The 21,278-nt window shown below is 40.2% G+C and overlaps 1 gene segment (V, D, J or C) and 1 further gene, besides 2 other annotated features; both read right to left on the bottom strand.

Moving 5' to 3' along the window:
- IGK (immunoglobulin kappa locus) overlaps window positions 1–21,278 on the bottom strand; it is a 1,378,008-nt gene that overhangs the window by 125,071 nt on the left and 1,231,659 nt on the right.
- IGKV1D-16 (immunoglobulin kappa variable 1D-16) lies at window positions 9,560–10,035 on the bottom strand. The segment is given in 2 exon segments: window positions 9,560–9,855; window positions 9,981–10,035. Coding segments are annotated over 2 exon segments (351 nt in total), but the record flags the coding sequence as incomplete, so codon positions are not given.
- Window positions 9,845–9,855: a sequence feature (IGKV1D-16 leader sequence).
- Window positions 9,981–10,035: a sequence feature (IGKV1D-16 leader sequence).

Genomic DNA, 21,278 nt, shown 5'->3' with positions numbered 1-21,278 from the left:
TCCTTTCAGAACCCTGTTCCTGTTTTGGCCAGCCTCACATCTGGTCCAGAGCGGAGTCCTGCCTACCTCTTGCCTCAAAAGTAACAAGAAATCTGTAATGAAAATTTACCCAGACAGAAAACTCCAATTTTATATTTGGTAGTTAGTGACATGGTACTTATCAAAGTTACACAAAGATTCAAGTGAATAAAAAATACTCTCAGAATTATTATAGGAGGTCATAATGTCCTGTAGTCCAAAAATTAATATGCACATAACGAAACAAAGAAATTAAAGGCTGATATCCATTGTGAATATAAAAATAAATATCTTAAGAATAAAAGAAAAATGCAATCCCACTGTATATCTGCACATTTAGTGAACACACATTGTAAAAAGTGTTACAGTTTTTATAAAAACTCTTGATAGGTAATTTTAATTTCTGAAAAATGTATATGAACTATAAGGTATGTTGGATCTCTTCCCCTAACTTAAAAAATATTTCTTCACATTTAAATTCTTTACCAATTTTTAATGACTTTTTATTGCTTAGAATTTTAGTTGATATAAATAAAAAATGTGTATTAAAAGCCTACCATTTTGATTTAACCTATGAAATATATTTAAATTCTTGGAAAAATCCAAAAATACCTAGAAAAGTGAGCTCTTGCCAGAAGATACACAGTTCTTTAGTGTCAGGCTGAGATTATCTCCCAGAAATAACTTTTGGCTCATATAGCTTCCAGGACACTGCAAGAATAAAAGATGTGAAGACAATGTTACTTAATTGGATTTGCAATTATTCACTATTCACTGTTAACCAATTTTATTGAAAAAAAAGATTCCAATCAAATACACTGATTTTAAGTGTACTGTTGGGTTTAATAAATAAATACATTCTTGGAAGCAAAATCAATACACACAACATTTCTGTACCTCCAAAAAGTTTTGTCCTGCTCTTCAGCAATCAACTTGCTTCCACCTCACAGAACAGACCATCCTTATTCAGCTTATTGTTAGTATAGATTCCACTATCTTTTTAAGAATTTCACATAAAGGAATATAGCACATATTCTTTTGTGGCTGGTGACTTTCGTGCAGCATAATTGTTTCCTAGGCTCATTCATGTCGCCTTGTGTCCTCGTGATGTGTTACTCTTTACTTTTGAGTACTATTTAAATATGTAGTAATTTCACAATGTATCCCATCACCTGCTGATGACCATGTGGGTTGTTTCCACTTTGGGCTATTATGGATAAAGCTACCACGAATGGCATTATACAAGGCTTTGCATGAATATTTCTTTATTTCTTTTAGGCAAATACCTAGGAGTGCAGTTACTGGGTCTTACAGTAAGTGTTTAATACTCTGTCATACTGTTTTCCAAAGTGGTTATACCATTTTACATCTCAGCCCAGAATTGATGAGAATTCTCAATGTTTCAGCTACTTGTTTTTAAGACTTTTTCTTAATCATCACTCAACAGTGACCAGAATGGCTAATGATCATTAAGTCATGTTTTCCTTACAATTTCCTTGACTTTTGTGGGTGCTTGACTTGTATCAGAATATTGAAAACAGGATCAATATTGTCTTAACCCCCTTTTAAACACTTTTTCTAAGTAATGATATTTAGGATGATAACAGGAGATCTAAAGGGAATATTGGTAGTAGTAACAGGCATTATTCAATATTTATTATCATACTCCTTAAGACAATACATTTTGAGTGAAATAGCATTCAGCTAGACTCGGGATAAAAAGGTTCTAATCTCAGCTTTAGCATTAAATATTAGGAAACCTTTGAGAAAACAATCCAGGAAGACAAATCAGAGTGTTTTGCTAGTGGAGAAGTGCTGCAACACCTAAACCCTATTAATGCCAGATCTTTGCAGTGATTTCTACTCATAAAGTTGGGTTGACTCCTTGCCTTGTTCTCCTATGTGTCTGTGTGACTTTATGCTGAGGGGATGTGACATCACAGAGGGAGAAGTGCACTTGTGTACAGAAACATGGCTTAGGAGATTGGCTTTGGATGTGGCTGCAATGAAATATATATTTTGAAGAAGTCCCCTATGAAATGTCTTATACATTTTTTCTTATGGCAGGGTGCTCGGGCTCACACCTGTAATCTCAGCACTTTGAGAGACCAAGGAGGAAGGATCACGTAAGGCCAAGAACTTGATACCAGCCTGGGCAACATAGGGAGACCACATGTGTACACACACACACACACACACACACACACACAATTTGTGAACAGTGGCATCAAGAAGTGATTATTTATGAACATTGGCTAAGAAAATTACAAAATAAAGCAATGTCTTCTGAGCTAACAATACTATAATAAAGATGTCAATTATTTAACTGTAGAAAATACAGAGAACATGAAATTGTCTATCTTAACCATATTTAAAAGTGCAGTGCAGTGGCATTAAGCATATTCACATGTTCTGCTATTATTACCGATACTGTCTCCAGAATTCTTTTCGTCTTATAAAAACTAATATCTATACCCCTTAAACAATACTCCCCCCATTTCCTGTATCCTTATCCCTAGCAACCTCCATTCCAGTTCTGCCTCTATGTCAGTGACATCTTTGAAGCAGGTTCACTGTACACTGGTTACCAACGTACCTGAGCGCGAGGAACACAACACCCCCACACAGCAAGTTACATGAAGGGGGTTTATTATTACAGATAAGCAGCAAGGGATCACAAAACTCTTGGACTCATTATGGATCAGTCCCCCAAGGCATGCGAAAGTTATGTGGAGCTGATAGAGTCGACTGTGTGTACCCCGCTTGCATCACAGCTCAGGAACCCGGAAAAGCAGACACTCTGGGTTTTATATCCTGGGGTAATGAGACGCACAGGGCTAACGTGCTTAAGAACATTCCATTCTATGAGAAACTGGAATACAGCACAGGTAGGCTGTTCTGGCCAGTTCCTCTCTATCTCAGGATGTTACAATTCCAGCACATTCTACAATTATTCTTGAGAACTCTTAAAATAATCAAGAAAGTGGAGAGAACTAAGTCAGCCCAGGGTCATTGGAGAACTGTCTTGCAGTTACCCCACCACCTAGACATCCCCCTTAGTAAAGCTAGCATATTTCCTACGCCCACCAATTTCCCCCAAACTGAAGGCAGAGGTTTATCTCTTCAGATTGACGAAGCACCTTGATTTACACAACCTCAGTGCAGATTATTAAGCCATAGTGAGAGTACATTTCGCTGGTCTAAGGAAGGGTACTACCACTGGCAGGAGGATAAGACCCCCGAAAGCAGTGACCTAGTCTAGGATCCCATGATCAAGAAATTAAGATGCCAAAGAGGTGAAAGGGGGATCTTTCAGATGCCCCATTGTCTGCAGCCATTGAGCCTGCATCAGGATCACCTCTACTTATATTTCTAGGATACCTGAGGTGTTTATCCAGGTACAGAAGGCAGTGTTGGGTGTTGGTAATTACATGGAACATCCGTTATGTTCCACGAGAATGTGCCCATTGTCACGCTGATTGGGCAGTGAGGTTGTTTCTTGGTCAGAGTGAAGTCTCATGGAGTATCCAAAATATGACATAAATTCCTCTCAAGGGTGGCCATTGTAGCCCCAGCATCTAATAGAGTGACATATATTTAGCAGTCCAGGAAGCAAGCTATTGCCATAGTCCTTTTCTCCACACAGGGGATCCTTTAATAGTTCAGTCGCTCAGTTGCTGTTTTCCTGACCAGATGAATGGGTTGTTGAAAGTGGCCCATGATTTAATGGAAATGGAGCAAAATATAGTGTTAGGGGCAGCCTGCATGGCTGCTATCATTGCATGCAGTTTGGCCCATTGGGCAGAATGGCCATGTTTAGTGTCAATCAAAAGATGCCATCCCCTGGCTGGATGGTGGCCACACCCAGTGGACCCACTGGCATGTGTTTTGTACAATCATCAGGGCCCCATGCCATACTGACATAGGCATGTCTTTGAATCTTTGACTCTATGTGGCCAAAGGAGAAGCTGAATTGTCCCCTGTGGGTCATTTGTTCCCTTCTTGCAAGCTTGTCATTTGTTTATGGGGCACATGGGTATTGTGGCATCCTGGTTAGGGCTGATTCTGACTGTAACATTTCCATTTAGTAATTTGGATCTGTTGGGCCTGTCCAGTTTTATTGATTGTGTTTGTAGGCACCAAAGTGAGAATCTGTAGTTAAGATAGCAGTGTCACTCCTGGTCCTCTAGCTCTGAGATACTCAGGCCCTATCAGTTTCCTACAGCAAGTAAGGAGTTGCCATTCAAAAGAGGCACAAATGATGGCTGCTTCAGGAAACATTTGTCTCCAAAATCTAAGTCTGGTGCACCCAGTGACAATTTTACATTGCCACAGACTCCAGTCAGCATGCCTAGAAATAGTGGACACCTGGATTTACATAGAACAAGCAGGCTCTAAAGGTCTTAAAGAAATGCCTTGGACATGTATAGTTGAATAGATTCCAAGGCTACCGTTGCAAAGGGCTCCATTCAAAGTTGTCAAATTTGTTCATGCTTTTGACTAAGGTGACCAAAAAAAAAAAAAAAAAAAAAGACTCAGGGGGACAGTGCAGCTACGTAAGAATCCAGTGGCTTTCCCGAGCTTATTTGTCTTGCATTTTTGGTGACATGGATTGTTGTTCATATCGGCTTCCTCTGGCAGGTCCACCTGGAAAGCATTATATTTAGCAAGAATAAAGGAGGCTGTGAATGATGTCACTGCGGACTGCGTATATTCCCTGTTGCAAATGTCAAATCCATGAAGCAAAAAGGGATTTACTAGAGGTTATTAAATTCCTTACAAATTGTTGAAAAGCCTTAAAAAACAGGCTCCAGTCAAAGCCTCTAGAACAATTCCAAGAATCGTACTGCTGGCACAGGTCGGGGGAGCTCCTCCTGCTGTCTGAGACTCCACATTCAAGCTGTCTCTTGCAGCAGAAGAGAGAGCGGCTCTTCTCACTACTGCCCCCAGAAGGACAGCAGCTCTGGTATCAACTGTCAACTGCTAGAAATCTGACCCCTTTCTCTGACTGCCCATCAGATGTGTTACTACAGAGTCGTTTTGGATTGAGATGAAGGAGGGGAAATGCCTGATCTCACTCAAATGTGCTCATTTTCCTGGTCTGAGTCACAGCCAGGCAGCACAGTCCTGTGGGCACAATATCTTCACTTGCCAGGTTCCTATAAAATGGGAGTATCTTTCTTGACTGTGGAAAATATGGAGACGAGGAAGGTCAAGCAATAGCAAAAGGAGTACTTGGAGTTGCCTGAGCTTCCACTCTGGTTTCCCCAAATGTTTTCAATCCATTTAATTCATGATAATAAACACCTTTCTGCCTAACCAGCCATAATCGCTTTTCTTAGATCCAGATGATTCAGTGATAAAACTAAAGAGAAAAAATAAATACACTTTTCAACGTTGAAGCTGACCAGGTGTCTGTCTCTGGTGTTTACCCCTCCACATCCCACTATGCATTTCATCTTCCCTTTGCCTCACTGGAGATCCAAGTGCAAGTAATGCTTCACATGACTGTGATCCCTAGAACTTCATCCTAATGACTGTTGACATCTTCTCTAAGTTTTACCAGTGGAAATGGCAATAAATAGAAAGATTCCAGAAGGTCCCCTAGGGTCCATATTTTCTGTACTTCCTCTCTAAAATATGTAAAGTCAATTATGTTTGCTCTTGCTTTATACGGGCTAGATCTATGGTCCCAGCACACATCTGAACGCCCTGTGTTGACAACTTATCCAGTATTGTATTGAGTCTGAATGGTCACATGCTTATCATATCATTTCTTCCAATTTCATGCAGTAATTGTCATGTCAACTGTTTGGATTAAGAACCATCAGCCAGAAAACCACAGCCCTGAGAAAATAGAAATAGAGTATTTCAAGCTGTTCAGTGGGCATAGCAATGATGAGTCTACAGCTCATTTTCAATATATAAATATTCTGTTCATGAGAGTAACAGTGTTTCAGAGCCTCCACCACATCTGACAGCATAACAATGCAATAGCACAAGAGTTTGTGTGCCAGCGTTGCTTGACTAATAATGGGTTTTTCTTTGTCTATAGGGTAAGCTGCACCTGTGCACATGACAAGATCATGAGCTACACTTTGCTTCACTTTTTTTGAGGTCAATAAACTGCTTGATCCAAAGCCATATTATGGAAGAAATTCCTGACTCTGATGAAAACACTTGGAAAATCCTCAAATAATATTTTATGCAGAAACATAACCGAAAAAGAAGGCAAATTCATATATTGCAAATAACCAGTGCCTTCCTCATGTTGCATGAGGTCCACTAGAATCACCTGACACCAGCTGTTAGTCTGAGCCCTGATGTGTGGTACAATGTTAAGGGTTCAAGAGGCATCAGTTTTCTTGGCAAATTAGGTGTTCAGAAGAGCCAATAGCCCTGTACATCTCAGTTAGTTGAAACTCACATTACTGAGTCCCCACAGGGACCTTATTAACATTGGTTCATGAGGCTACCTGGGGAAGCTGGGAAAGGTGATTGACTGAAGTCCATGTGTTGAATCATCCTGATTATTAAAAGCCCCTGCTTGTTAATGGCATTTCACTTAATATTCACTTGGAAAGCATTTTTTTTTATTATGGCTCATTTTTGAAATGTCTGGTCATAGCTTTTGCAGAATGACTTTGTCTGAAATCAGCCTGTTGCATTTATTTTAAGACTTGATGATCTGTCAAAACCAACAGCCAATATTTATTAAACTGCTGTTATCTTGCAATGGGATCATCAGATGTAACCATTGCAGTTTACCCACGGTTAGGATTTTTACATTTCCAGTGCTTCTTTGACAATGACACTAATGTGACTCCATCCAGCATGCATTGTTGTGAGAACTCTATTTGGCCTATCATCATTGTGGGCATGAACATAATGGAGACTTTCATAGGATGCAATGGTTAATATTCAACATTAGTCAAAATTTGCTCTAGTCCTACCCTTGGAGCTCTACTGGGTTGGAAAAATATTTTAGGTAAGGTCAACCATTTGGTAAAGTTTTAAAAATAAAGGCTACAAAGAAATTTTCTGTAGCAAGAGTATTGCATACATAATAGAATAAATGTGCTTAAATATGAATACTATATATATTTGTAGCCAACATTTTATCAAACAAATATATATTCACTTCTATGTATCTTATATATATGCACATTTTTCCATAAATAAGGTAAATTTTAATTTTTTATTGAAATACTAGTTTTAATTCTGTTCTTAATTTTCTCTTAATAACTTCATAAATTGATCACTAAATATTCACATTTATACCACCAATTTAAGAAAAAAATACATATGTTTATATACACGTAGAGGTGTAAATACCGTATCAGGAAGCCTTTATGCATAATGATTGGTTACTGGTTAAATACACAACTCAGTGACAGAAAACAGTAAACATTTGTTTTCGTGTTCGTGGATGCTCACGTTCACAATCCTCTGGCTGACCAAGGAAGGGCTCTGATGAGTCGTTCCTCTGCAGGGCACTGAGCTCACCTTCAGACTACAGATATGAATTGTCTGAGGACAAGGCTGAACAGCAGTGACTACACATGACAGAAGATTCTTGTGGCAGGTCACAGGAGTGAACAACATCCCAAATCAAACTGCACAGTTGAATTTAAGTCCAATAATTTCTAACATAGCTTCACACATTTTAAATATATTCCTTTATTTCAGTGAGTACACATTTTCAAGAAAATGTTTACTCCATTTAATTATAGAAGGGTTTGATCATTCCATGAACAAATAATTATGTTTTCAAACTTTACAATCCTGAAAATATTTGCAAATGTAAATTTGCATTAATAAGAAAATAAAGCTGGATGTGTTTTCAACATGTGGCTTCAAATATAATTTATTTAAATGGACTCATTGGGGTAAAAATCATTTTAACTTATGTAAATATCCCTTTTTGCTGTGCTTGTGTCCTATAGAGTTGCCCAATAAGAGTTCCTCCCATGAGATTTGGAAATCAGAAAAGGAAGACTCAATATTATCCATTGGTAACTAAGACAGGTACAAGGACAGAGGTGAGGACTAGAGAAACACCTGGAAGGATGCTGCAGGAAGCTAAGAGCATCAGCACGCCTACCCCTAAGCTTCCAGACAGGACTGAGGACCACATGGTTAGAAAGCCCTTACTTTAGGGGCGGATGCATTCTGTTTTCTGAGGGAGAACCAGAGAATCCTGCCTCTAATATCAACTTTCCTGACTACTGTATCCTTGTCTTTGAAAGGCTGTAGTCTGAACGTTAATCATAGGCATTGGTTCATTCTTGTTATACCCAACAGAGCCAAGAAACCTAGTGGGGAAAGGCACTCAGGGTGCAAAATATTGCTTCTGGAATGCAATTGAAATAGGCCCTGTTATCCCATGGAACTAAGGTTTATGGTTTTTTGAATAAACTTAGAAATTGTCTCCCCCTCCCTGTCTTAAAACTCAAGATAGTTACGTCTGTCTTACCTGAGTCCTTTTTTCAGTAAACCAACCATCAGGCCTCCCAGATACTATTAAGAAGCTGAAACTTACATATCACTGAATCGGGACAGTGAGACAACAGAACCTTCACCCGCTGTGATTGCATAACTGACCTCCTGCTTCTTCTTGACCAAATTATCTTCCTTACCCCTCCCTAATTCCTGTTTTCAACATTTCTTCCCTCCTATATAAACCCCTAATTTATTTTGTCAGAGAGATACAATTGAGAATGGCGTCCCATCTCCTCGGCTGCAGCACCTGATTAAAGCCTGTTCCTTGGCAATACTTGTTGTCTTCGAGATTGGCTTTCTGTGTGGTGAGCTGCAGGATCTACACCAAGTCCCTGGTATTTCAGTAAGAAAATTCTCTGCAACCTTCAGTGCTTTGGCTTATTGTAACCTGAAATCAAATTTATCCACAATTTCTGAGATAACTTGATATAACTCTAGGATTCACTTTGTCCACCACTGTTTACCAGTCTGAGCTTGCCAGCTCCCAACCCTTCCTAGTGCCAATGAACTTTCTCAAAGTTCAATAGGTAATATTTCCCTTTTTCATGGAACACTGACTTTTTCTTTGTTCTTCCAACATACTGAAGACCACTGAATTTTCCTGTATGCCTCATTTGGCAAATATTTCTCTTCAAATAAAACATTAAATTTAGAGATTCATCTCTACATTTTATTTAGACTTCAGTAGTTTATTCTAATTCTCTGTATTAAGACTATTCCTGCTTAGAATATCTATAGTGGCTTCTTCTGCATTATGATTTCCAACTGAAGCCATAAACTAGACTCCTCAGGTGTCATGATCTCTGTTTTTATTAAATAAGGAGAAGCATTGCTATGTCTGTGAAGTTGGTGCTGAGAAAGAGAAAAGAATTAGGGTGCAGAGGTGACTTCATGTCCCCATCTACAAACACCATCAGAGTGTGGCTGCATCTGAGGAACACTCTCAGCTGATGGAGGCATCAGGAGAAGCAGCTGGGGCAGCCCAGCCTCACACATCTGCTTCCCTGGGGGTTTATGTTTGGGTGTGTAACACTGTGGGAGGGTAACTATTATACTGTTGGCAGTAATAAGTTGCAAAATCTTCAGGCTGCAGGCTGCTGATGGTGAGAGTGAAATCTGTCCCAGATCCACTGCCGCTGAACCTTGATGGGACCCCACTTTGCAAACTGGATGCAGCATAGATCAGGGACTTAGGGGCTTTCTCTGGTTTCTGCTGATACCAGGCTAACCAGCTGCTAATACCCTGACTCGCCCGACAAGTGATGGTGACTCTGTCTCCTACAGATGCAGACAGTGAGGATGGAGACTGGGTCATCTGGATGTCACATCTGGCACCTGAGATTGGAAACATAAAAACAAATGTCCACACAATTAATCATGTTGTAAGAGAATTTCCCTGAATAGTAAAGCAGTACTGAGCACCCTGGGCTGAGTAAACTGCTAGTGTTCTCCATCCTTACCTGGGAAACAGAGCAGCAGGAGCCCCAGGAGCTGAGCGAGGACCCTCATGTCCATGCTGTGTCCTGACTGGGTCTGATTCCTGCACAAAGTCTGACCAGCCTATTAATAAGGCTTCAGGGCAGGAGGTTGTGCTCTGGGAACATGCAAATGAGCAGGGGATGGGGCAGGCTGGGCACAGCTGCAGAGCTGGCGCATCTGAGTAACTCAGCACCAGCTCAGTGTCCCCACCTGTCCCAGGTAAGATCAAGGTAGCTCAAATTTGTCTGCAGAGAATGTGTTTCTACTGGGGACTATTTTGTTATGGGAAACATTTTATGGTTTCTTTTTGACAATTTGAAATATTCCTTGGGAGTCGATGGAGCAATGTATTTCATTGGTGTATGGGGATTATTTAGGAGAATATTCTTTTTTGTAGGAAACACATAGTAAAATTTTAGACCCTACAATTTTCAGGTCTTCAAAAGACTCTCATGTGATTTCTGTTAGGGAAGGTGGTACTTATCATATACTTGCAACATTTCTGTGAGTTTAACATTGTTCCTTTCTAAAAAAAAAATTAAAAATAAAATTTATTCACATGATGCTACATATATTTGTAAATGTTAGGTAATGGTGTTATGCCATTGTTCTTACCACTGTAAGATCAAGCAATTTACTTCAGATACACTAAGTTGATACCGTGTTTCCTCAATGCATGCAGCAATTACAGATCCACCATTATCAAGAGCTCTAGGTCTCTTTAATACCCAGAGACTAAATGGGCTGCACCTTATTCCTGTTTTGGGCACCTTCATAGTCTACCTTCTTTTCTGCCATTAAGTATTATTTCCCAACATTCATCTCTCTTAGTGAGGGTGATCATCGCATGGAGCATGTCCCTGCCACGCACCATAGGTGACACTTTCTTCTTTTACTTTTTATCAGGGACATCATCCTGACCCAGACACCAAGATCCCTGTTAACATCTTTTGGAAAGAGGCACTCAATCTTTTATCAAGCAACTGCCCATGTACATGGAGAAATCAGTTGGTTCCAGATGAAACTGGACAGGGATTTGCACTCGTTATATCTCATATCTCTAATGTGCCCAAAAATGTCCCGGCCTGGTTCCGTGGGAGGGGAAGTGGATCCAACTACATCAGCATCAGTGGGCTGCAGCCTAGGACTCCATAAAATTTTACTGATGCCTGACTAGGAGAGCCAAATCACAGTGCTGTAGCCTCTGCACAAACCTTCCTGCTGCTTTATAAGCTGCCTGAATTTTAAGGGAAATTGCTTATATTGGAAGAAAGGAAGAAAGCTCCATTTGTCCTCTAAATGTTTGCTGAAAATAAACTGACAAAAGGAAGATTAATAAGAGAAAAGGCAAACAAAATTCACTTAAAGTGCAGCAGGATATCATAGCAAGGTGATTACCCAGATAACTCAATGGGATCCAGGTGTTTATGTTTCCTTTCTAGGGAAGAGGTAATTGGGAAATGTAGGCAACCTGGAGAGAATAGATGCGAATAGAAATGCATCCTCAAAAGAACAGGTAATCACCTCCCTAGGTAAAGTATCAACTTTGAGTCTCTTCCATTTTTGATTCCTCTTTTGTGTTAATCTTCCCTGACATAAAAATTCTCAGGAAGAGTTTTCTTAAAAATTGGTTTCCTTCTGAAGAATTTGCTTTTAGGCAGGTAGGGGATGTTTAGGAAAAGCCCCCTGTGCATTTCCTGCTTTCTAAATGCCTTTGGTTTTATATAATCATCATACAAATGCAGCACAGTTTGAGATGTTATTTTCTGGATTCCTTTACTTGCAACCCACCTGCCAAGATCCTGTTCCAGAGAGATGTGGCTACAGACTGAAAGAGCAGTTTTCCCCTCAACAACGTGGAGGTTGGGGCACTGACCACTGGTGCAGATGAAAACCTGTGTAGAACTTTTGCATCTCCAACTTATGTAGTAATAGATTACTTTTGACTGGAAGCCTTAATGATAAAATAAATAGTTGATTAACCCTTTTTTATGTTATACATATTATATACTCTATTCTTCCAATAAAGTATGCTAAAGAAAAAATGTTATTGAGAAAACCTTAAAAATGAGAAAATATATTTAGTACTTATTAAGCGCTTGCTCACAGGTGACACACAGAAGAAAATATAAGTGGATCTGCAAATTTCAAACCCAAGTTATTCAAGGGTTAACTGTACCATGATGAATGTAGCAGTCCCCATCTATAGTCTAGGGCTTTTCCCTTTGCTGTATCTCTGCTCATTTCCAATGGCTATATATATGTCTTATGTGCTTCATGATCTTGGGCAGAGAGGTCTGCTTGCATGCCTTGCCGGCCAGATGGCCTGCAATGTGTATCTCTTAGGAAAGTGCTATGGTTTGACTGTGTCCTCCAGAATCCATCGTTATAAAGTTAAATCTCAGTGAAATGGTATTGCCAGGTGGGGCCTATTGAGATGTGTTAGATCATGAGGGTGGAGCCCTCTAGTGGAATACCTTAATGCCACTATAAACAGGGTTTATGGGGCTGGAATCTCTCTGTCTCTTCTGCTGGTCTGTCATGTTAAGACATGGCCTTCGTTCCTTTGAAGGACTGAAAGCTCCAGGCGTCATCTTGAAAGCAGAGAAAGAGGAGCTTAACCTGCCCATGCCTTGATCTTAAATTTCCCATTCTCCAGAAATGTGAGAAAATAAATTTCTGTTCTTTATGAATTACACAGTGTCAAGGAACCTAACCTGTTATAGCAGCTTGAAAGAGAACAAGAGAGACAGCTCACAATCAGTGAGGACAGGATGAGGTGTATACATACCTCAGCTTCCTCGTCTCTCAGGTGGAATAGCCCAGAGGAATTTAGTCCATGTTTCCACATGTGGTTGATCTTCAGTTATCCTGAGTCAGGTGGGTTGTTGATGTGTCTTTTACCATTCATCTTCTGTTCCCTCCCTCACTTTCTTCCTTTCCTCCCAGTGTAAATTTGCTGCCTAAACAGGAATCCTCATTGCTGGTGGACCCAAACTAAGATAGTAAATAAAATCATTAATCTTTTGTATGAGGGGTATTTCTCATCTGAATTCTTTTATCATTTCCCTTTCTTCGACATGTAGGAATATTCAGGAAACACACAATTTTTTTTAACCAATCTATTTTAGATTGAATTTATGCGGTGATTTTTTTTGTGTGTGTGTTAAAACAAAAAATTACGTTGTAAGCCACTAACCAGCTGAACGGACTCCTCTTTTGGTAGAGAGAACTTCAAAGAAATCTGAAAAACTAGGTTAGGCCACGACTGGCAGGTGGGTTTAGATGTACCTCATTATATGGTCCTTCCTTTGGAGTTCAGACACAACTGACCAGCATTATCATTACAACAGAGATCTTTGGATTGACAAAACAGATGCTTTGTAGCAATAAGATACCATACTCCAACATGACAGATAATAGGCCCTGAAGAAAATCAAAATATTTTACCCTAAAAGTATTTCTTTGACATATTCTGAAGTGACCCTGCAAGCTGCCTGTTGTGGGGGAAATTTGCATTCTGCAGAGAATCTCCTCCCCTTACTAAGTCTTTTCCAAAGAGTCTGACTTTTTTTTAAGGTCTGATAAACAACATTAGCCACCTACTTTGTTTGCTACCCACAGGATTCATCTAGGTGACAAGAACCTTTGCTTCCACACCCTCTTTTCTAAACTCAAGCATTTCTTTATGATGAATTCAAGTGTTTAGGCAGAGCTTAACTCTTTCAACCAGTTGGCAGTCAGGAAATCTTTGAATCCACCTATGACCTGGAAGCCCCTACTTCAAGCTATCCTACCTTTCCAGGACAAACTAATGTAAATCTTATATGTATTGATTTATGTCTTTCCCTGTAATTTCTGTCTCTCCAAAGTATTTCAATGTGTATTCTTGTCACCCTGGGCACATGTTTGCAGGACATCCTAAGGCTGTGTCACAGGCCATAAGCTTTGGGAAAATAAACCTGTAAATTGATTGAGACCCGTCTCAGATACTGTTTTGTTTATACTGGTCACAAACTTAAAAATCCTCTAAAACAATCTACACATCAATAAATCTACATTAGAGACAGTGGAATGATCATACCTTAACAGTTAAAGCTCACAATTTAAAGGAACCTGAGTCTAAGATTTTGGCCAGCTCTCTTGCTTCATAAAAAATACTTCATGATTTTTAAAATTTTACTTTAGAGAAAGGCAATTTGGGGGAATATATTTATTGTCAATGGGATGAATAATGTCTCTACCCTAAAAGATGTCCATGTCCTCATCTCTGGAACCCAAGTGTTACAGGAGTTATTAAGAAATTATTTTAGGCGGATAGGAAAAGAGTGTCCTTGGTAAGGTTTTCTTTCATTTAAAGCAGCTCCAGAAACGTTTCTTGTCTAGCAGGAAAGCCCTGGCTCTTAGAGCCAGGCTGGGAAGCTTTGATTTGCAAATTCCGGCCATTAGAAACTGAGTCCAGCCAAACCTGTCAATTCCCACCATCTTCTTCCTTGCCCCCACATGTGCCTGACAACAAGGCTGCCCCCACATATCCCCATGTGTATAGAATATTTTGGCGCCCTGTATTTGCATATTAAAAGTCTTGTTGGGAAGGCCAGTTATTTTGCAGGCTTCATGAATGGCATGCCTGGTCAAACCAGTCCCTAGAGCCCTATATAAATCAGACACCACCTCCTCCAGCCTCCTCATATAAGAGCCACTTTTCTGCTGCAATGGAGTTTTGTCTTTGTTGGAATCCCTCCTCCCTCTGTCTCTGTGTGGGGGAGCTGTTTTCTTCCTCCGTCCTTCTTGCATATTAAACCTTTCTCTCCCTAAAAGCACTCCACGTGTGTCTGTGTTGTTTTATCCAAAGTGGTGTGAGACCAAGAACCCTGGTGTTCCTCCAGTCAACGGAGCCGTATCATAAAAATTCTACCTTACATAGCAAAAAAAAAACTTGACAGATATAAGTGAAGAATAAGCGACCCAGTTATCTAGATGAAACCAATATGATCACAAAGGTCCTTAAAATAAAAGAGGAGGCTTGCAGTCAGAGAGGAGCTGGGACAATGGAGAGGGATGTGGTTTGAAGAGGGAACGGGTTACTCTGCTACAAAAAAAAAATATGACCACGGGGGTACTTTGCTTAAAAAATATCCCAGAATGTCCTGCTATACTTAGAGAGCATTTGCTTCCCAAATAGAAAATGAAGGCCTCCTTCATTTCACACCAGTTTCTGCTACATGCACTGTATCGCTCTGTTGCTTGGTGTCTACGCACTTAGAACTGCTCTGTCTTCTTTCCGAAATGACTTTCTTCATTATGTAATGTACATTTCTGTCACTGGTAACATTCTTGGCTTTGTAGTCTACTTTATCTGATATTAGTATTTGCTACTGATTCATTTTATTAATTTTGCATACTATGCCATTTTCTTTTCTTTTATATTGAGTCTACTTCTAGTGTCATATTTGATGTGAGTGTCTTATAGACAGTATACTGTTCGGACATTTCTTTTTGATTCATCAATTGCTGTCTGTTATAATTTACTAATTTGCATATTTAATATATCGATAATTATTGATATACTAAGATTTAAGTCTTCGCTCTACTTTTTTGCTGTATCTTTTTTTGCTTCTCCGTTTTCTTTTTGCTGCCTTCCTTTGGGTTACTTGAACATTTTTAGAATTTCATTTTAATTTTACCTAATTTGAGGGTATCTCTTTTTATAGTGATTTTTAAATTGGTTGTCATGGTATTTCCTTTATATCCATAGCTTCTCACAGTATGTTGGTGTCATAATATTACCATTTAAAATAAATATAAAATTTTACCTTGTTTTATGTCATTTTTCTTCCCCCATTAGTAATAGATTGTGCACATATACTCATGTACGCTTCACACCATCTCTAGCCTACTTATAATACCTGACGCAATATGTATACATGACTTAACCTGTGTGGATTCAACCAAGTGGTACTAAGCACATGGTGAAGTCAAGTTTTGCTTTTTGGAAATTTGTGGATTTTTTTTCTATATATTTTTGATCCAGGTTTAGTTGAATCCATGGATGCAGATCCCATGGATAGAGAGATGACTATACTGCTCCTTATAACTCTGAGGATCAACTCTGTGGTTCCTCCATTCTGGGCTGGCTGAACTGATCTCTGCTGAGCCTGCTCATGTGTCTGCAGTTACCCTGTGGTTCAGTTGTGACTAGATGGTCTGATATGACTTGTTTAACCTATCTGGAAGCTGATTTGATGTGCAGGTTGGACAACATTTGGTTTCGGTTTACATAGGTCAGGGAGATGGGGCCTGTTCCCCAACCTCTATTCAGTTCGTTTCTAGATCAACTCAGGAGTTCGTCTATTCATTGTAGGTTGTTTGGGGGAAATTCCACACAAAACGTTGGTAATGAAGAAGCTGAACTGCTGTCATCAGTTATTGTTATCATCTGAAATGCATCATATATTACCAAAGTCTCTCCAGGGTGGCCCAACAGTGCAGCTCAGCTCACCCCATCCAGTCACTTCCCTGGTTGCCTGCAGGTGTGAGAAAGGCAATGTGCTCAGTCACAGGAAAGACAGGGGCCCTCCCTGGTGCTGAAACCTGCAGATAGTTTTCACACAGTTTCATTCCAAAATACAAAGACTTCATTTTCTTTGTCTTTAAAATAGTTATACATTTTCTTTCTATAATGTCCCCATGCTTTTCAACTAATTTGAATTTTCAGAACTGGAAGTATTTATTATTTCTGTGTTAGATGCTCTTAGTCACTTATGGCAAGAGTGAGTTAATAGAGACAGGATATGGATTAGCCATAGAACAATACAGAAGTGTGTGGATTCAGATAGGATAAAGATCAAAGCGGTGACAAATACATTCTTTTGAAGCGGATTCTCATAGGTCACCAGTCAATGTCCGCATTCAAGGTGCGATGATGTGTCAGCTACATTGTGCAAATGGTCAGCTCTGCAGAGTAAACTTGGACAGCACACTACAGGACCAAAATTACCTGTAAAGGTATGGGGAAAATAAACCATCATAGAAATAATAGTGTGAAGGAGTTTTTGGTTATTTATACTTGGATATCAAGCAGAACACTATAATCAACGAAGCTATAACCGAAAAACTTTAAGACTTTTAAAGAGGTTTCCCTTTTCTCAGGGTATTTCTCAGGAAAAAATTTATAAATTATGGATAAACTACTTGCACAATTAGCTGCAATAAATCCCTTCCCTGCACTCATCCTTTGGTTGGCCTCATTCTAAATGGACTCAGGTGTTACCTATGTGTCTTGCTCAGGCCAATAGGATAATAGCAGATGTGACAGAATTGGAATATTGGAAAGGGCTTGCACATCGAAGCTTTCCTCTCTTTCACAGTGCTTGGAAACCCTAAGGTCACAATGAGAATAAGCCTGTGCCCATCTCCATTCAATGTCAGTGGCATGGCTGCTCTTAGGTCTATTATTTGTTCTTAAAATGTGTGTTCAGTTTGTTATAAACATGTAAGAAATTACCTGCAAATTTATCAACTTAAGACTACACCCATTTATAATCTCTCAATTTCTGAGTCAGCAGTCAGCACATGGCTTTGCTGGATCCTGCCCATTGGATTTCACAAGACTGTGCCACAGTGTAGACTGTTCTTCATTCTCACCTGAGACTCCCTGAGAAGAGAGATATTTTAGAGCTCTTTCAGGTAGTTGCAGAGCCCATGCCTTAGCACCTCTGTGACTCAGGGCTTCAGCTTCTTACTGGCTCTTGGCTCAAGGCTGCTCTCAGGTCCCAGAGGCTGTGGACAATTCCCTGCCATGTGATGCTCACACAGGCAATGCCCACATGGCTGGTTGTTTGTTCAAGGCCAGCAGAAGGTTTCAGAGAGTGTCTCTTTCCAGTCTGCTATGACAGAGGCTTACAGAATACAATACAATCATTGGAAAGACATCTCATAACCTCTGCCATACCATATGGGTTAGAAGCAAGCCTAAGTTCTGCCTGTTCTCTGTGGAGGTAGATCACACAATGCCATGACTCACTGGAGAGAGGTTTCTGCTAGGGTGTTCTGGCATCTTTAGTTTCCTCAAATATCAGGGTACTCATACTGAGTGTGAAATCTCTCCTACATCTACTTCATCGTGCTGTGTCTGACTGATCAGACATTTGACACATGACTTTTTTTTTTTTTTTTGTGACGGAGTCTCACTCTGTCGCCGAGGCTGGAGTGCAATGGCATCATGTCGGCCCACTGCAACCTCTGTCTCCTGGGTTCAAGCAATTCTCCTGCCTCAGCCTCCCGAGCAGCTGGGATTACAGGCACCCACCACCATGCCAGGCTAGTTTTTATATTTTCAGTAGAGACGGGGTTTCACCATGTTGGCCAGGCTGGTCTCAAACTCCTGACCTCAGGTGATCCACCCATCTCGGCGCCCCAAGATGGGATTATAGGGATGAGCTACCATGCCTAGCCTACTTTAGTTTTTAAGTAGATTTAATGAAATCTATTTAGTAGCCAAAAGCCAAGAATGCCAATAGTTTTACCTGGCTACTCTCTGAAACAATGGTATTAAAAGGGGTCTTTCCAGCCCCTTTCCAGCAGAAAGACAGGTACTAAGAAACAGTGGAAGTGTGAAGGTGGGGGAAGGGAGAGAAACAGTTTTTATATACCTAAACTAACCCAGCTGCATGTAAACCAGTAACTACTCATCAAAATAAAATACAGAAAGCATATTAGTTTTGGTTTGGTGTGAACCAGCCTTAAATACAAAGTTGTTACACTGAATGGGTTTAATTGACCAAAATGCATAGGGAAGGCAGAAAGGATTAGGATGCCCTTCTACTCAGCTTTATCTGCTGTCGAGTCTGGTTCCTCAGGGGACACATGGATCCCCTCCATTGTCCTGCAGATTCTGCCAGGCCAAGGCTGTTAAATCTGGCGGGGTCTCATGTGTGGACTTCTGGGTGTATACAGGGAGAAACTAGAGAAAGGCCGAGCAGATTTTTACTGCATGTAGGTAATCTACGTGGGCTTTTAGAGAAAAAAGGCTTTAGATAAAAAGTGTTTGACAAAGTCACACATGGTTTGTAAAAAAACAAAAAATAAAATACAACTTGAAAACTCTTGGAGAAGTGACACTTTAGTTTCCCAAATCACTCTTCTTCATACACTTCCACTTAGCTTTTTTTCACCTTCTAGCTCTGTGGTCTTAGAAGGACATGCACTTAAAATAATTTGTTTCCATAGGAATCCAACAAGTAAAAGCATAAACAACATCAAATAAACTACATCATTAACATAGAAGCATGTCAAAGAAACTGAGATTAGATTTTGAGTTTTGGCACAAGTATTAGAGAAATAGAGAAAAGATTTAAAAGATAGAATAAGACTTACACAAGAAAGCAGGACAGCAATACGACAATTGAACCTATCATAGAATAATAGGTTGTGATAATGGATGGTGAGAAGAAATGCATTGGACAGACATGCATGGGCATGATTGATTTGAGCAATTTAGCATGGATCAAGACAAAATCTTTAGGATTTAAAGGGCTGTGAGCTGGGTAGTAAAAACCCCCATTTTAGCACCTCTTGGGGCTGTAGATGGAAAGAACTTGGATTTAAAACTATTTTCAATAAGTGTCTGCTAAGTGCTAAGTATTATAGCTATAAGGATACCTAAATTAATAGAAGCACATATTATCTGTTGGATAATATTCTAAATCTTTTACCTTGTTTAAATTGTAAACCGACCTATGAGGTAGAACCTATTATTGTCACAGCATTGCGGGTATAGAAAAGGAGGCAAAGGGGGGTTAAGTTACTTTACTAATGTCACACAACATGTAAGCGGTAAAGCTCCATCCCCAACCCCAAGGGTTTGACTTCAGGGCCTGCCAAGACAACATCTGGACTGTTGCATGGATCTTGCCTGGCTGTACATGAAGCTCTAATTCCAGGATGGATGAAGATTCCATTAGAACTTGGAGTAGCATTAATAAAATTGCTTCCTTGAGACCAGGCGAAGTGTCCAGAAAGCAAAGGAGTTTAACTGCTTAAAGGAAAGGTGCAGATTTGTAGGAAATGAAGCTCTGGACTGTGAACAGAGTTTTTCAAAACAATTAAGGAGAAGAGAAATTGAGTCTAGTTTGATAGATGTGTTGTGCAGAGTGAGTGTAGTGGAGATTAGAGAATCAGCCAAGGAATTATCCCCTGCCTTCATGGATGGCATCAACATCTGTCTTCATGGCAATTGTATTGGCAGCCTGAGTGTCAGAGCCTGGGTCCTGCCCATCCATGCAGCTGTGGTCACCTTTGCACCTGCAGTGCTGGAGTTACTTGAGTGTTACTCTTTGAGGTAGCTTCAGGACACTTGGTAAAAATCACTAAGTGGCAAGTGAAAGACTTGGAAGAAAAGTTCTAATCAGCTCTTCTTTCCCACCTGATGCAATTTTTGCTGCTGCTGGGACCCCAAGTTCTTTGTCTCCTCCCCGCTGCTTTTTTTTTTTTTTGAGACAGAGTTTTGCTTTTGTTTCCCAGGCTGAAGTACAGTGGTGTGATCTCAGCTCACTGCAACCTCTGCCTCCTGGGTTCAAGTGATTCTCCTGCCTCAGCCTCCCAAGTAGCTGGGATTACAAGTGTGCACCCCCACGCCTGGCTAATTTTGTATTTTTAGTAGAGATGGGGTTTCACCATGTTGGTCAGGCTGGTTTCAAACTCCTGACTTCCGGTGATCCACCCACCTCGGCCTCCCAGAGTACTGAGATTATAGGTGTGAGCCATCGTGCCTGACCCCTTGCCTCTTTTGTAAATAGAAATCAACACCAGGCCAAACAGAAATTGTCTCAGGCAAGGTTTAGTAGGTTTGTGGCAAGAGCAAAGCAAGGGAGCAGCCTATGGGTAAGAGATCCTGGTGGCTATTCCTTGAAGTGCCCAGCTCTTACCATTTTAAGGAAGCTGAGGCGGAAAAAGGAATGACATACAAGCATGGTTAGGCAAAGTTTTCTTTGCATTTGTGCAGTGGAGCGTCATGCTCTAACATATATAACATGATGAGGAAATGGAAGATAAGCCCTGCCTTGGGTGGATATTTTAGTATTACAATGAGATTATAATGAGGAAAAATCAGTGAAAGGTCAGTTCTGGGGACCATCCCACTTTCAGCTGGCTAGATCTCATTTGGTGCTTTGGGGAAATGCCAGCTCTATCAGCAACCTTGGAAGATGGTCAGGTTCTTATCAGGAATGTTAGAGTTCCACTTTAGAAACCTTGGGAGGCTGGGCACAGTGGCTCAC

This window comes from Homo sapiens, chromosome 2 (genome assembly GCF_000001405.40).
Source record: "Homo sapiens chromosome 2, GRCh38.p14 Primary Assembly".
In the NCBI taxonomy this organism is placed as follows: Eukaryota; Metazoa; Chordata; class Mammalia; order Primates; family Hominidae; genus Homo; species Homo sapiens.
This window is presented reverse-complemented; position numbering and strand designations above follow the sequence as displayed.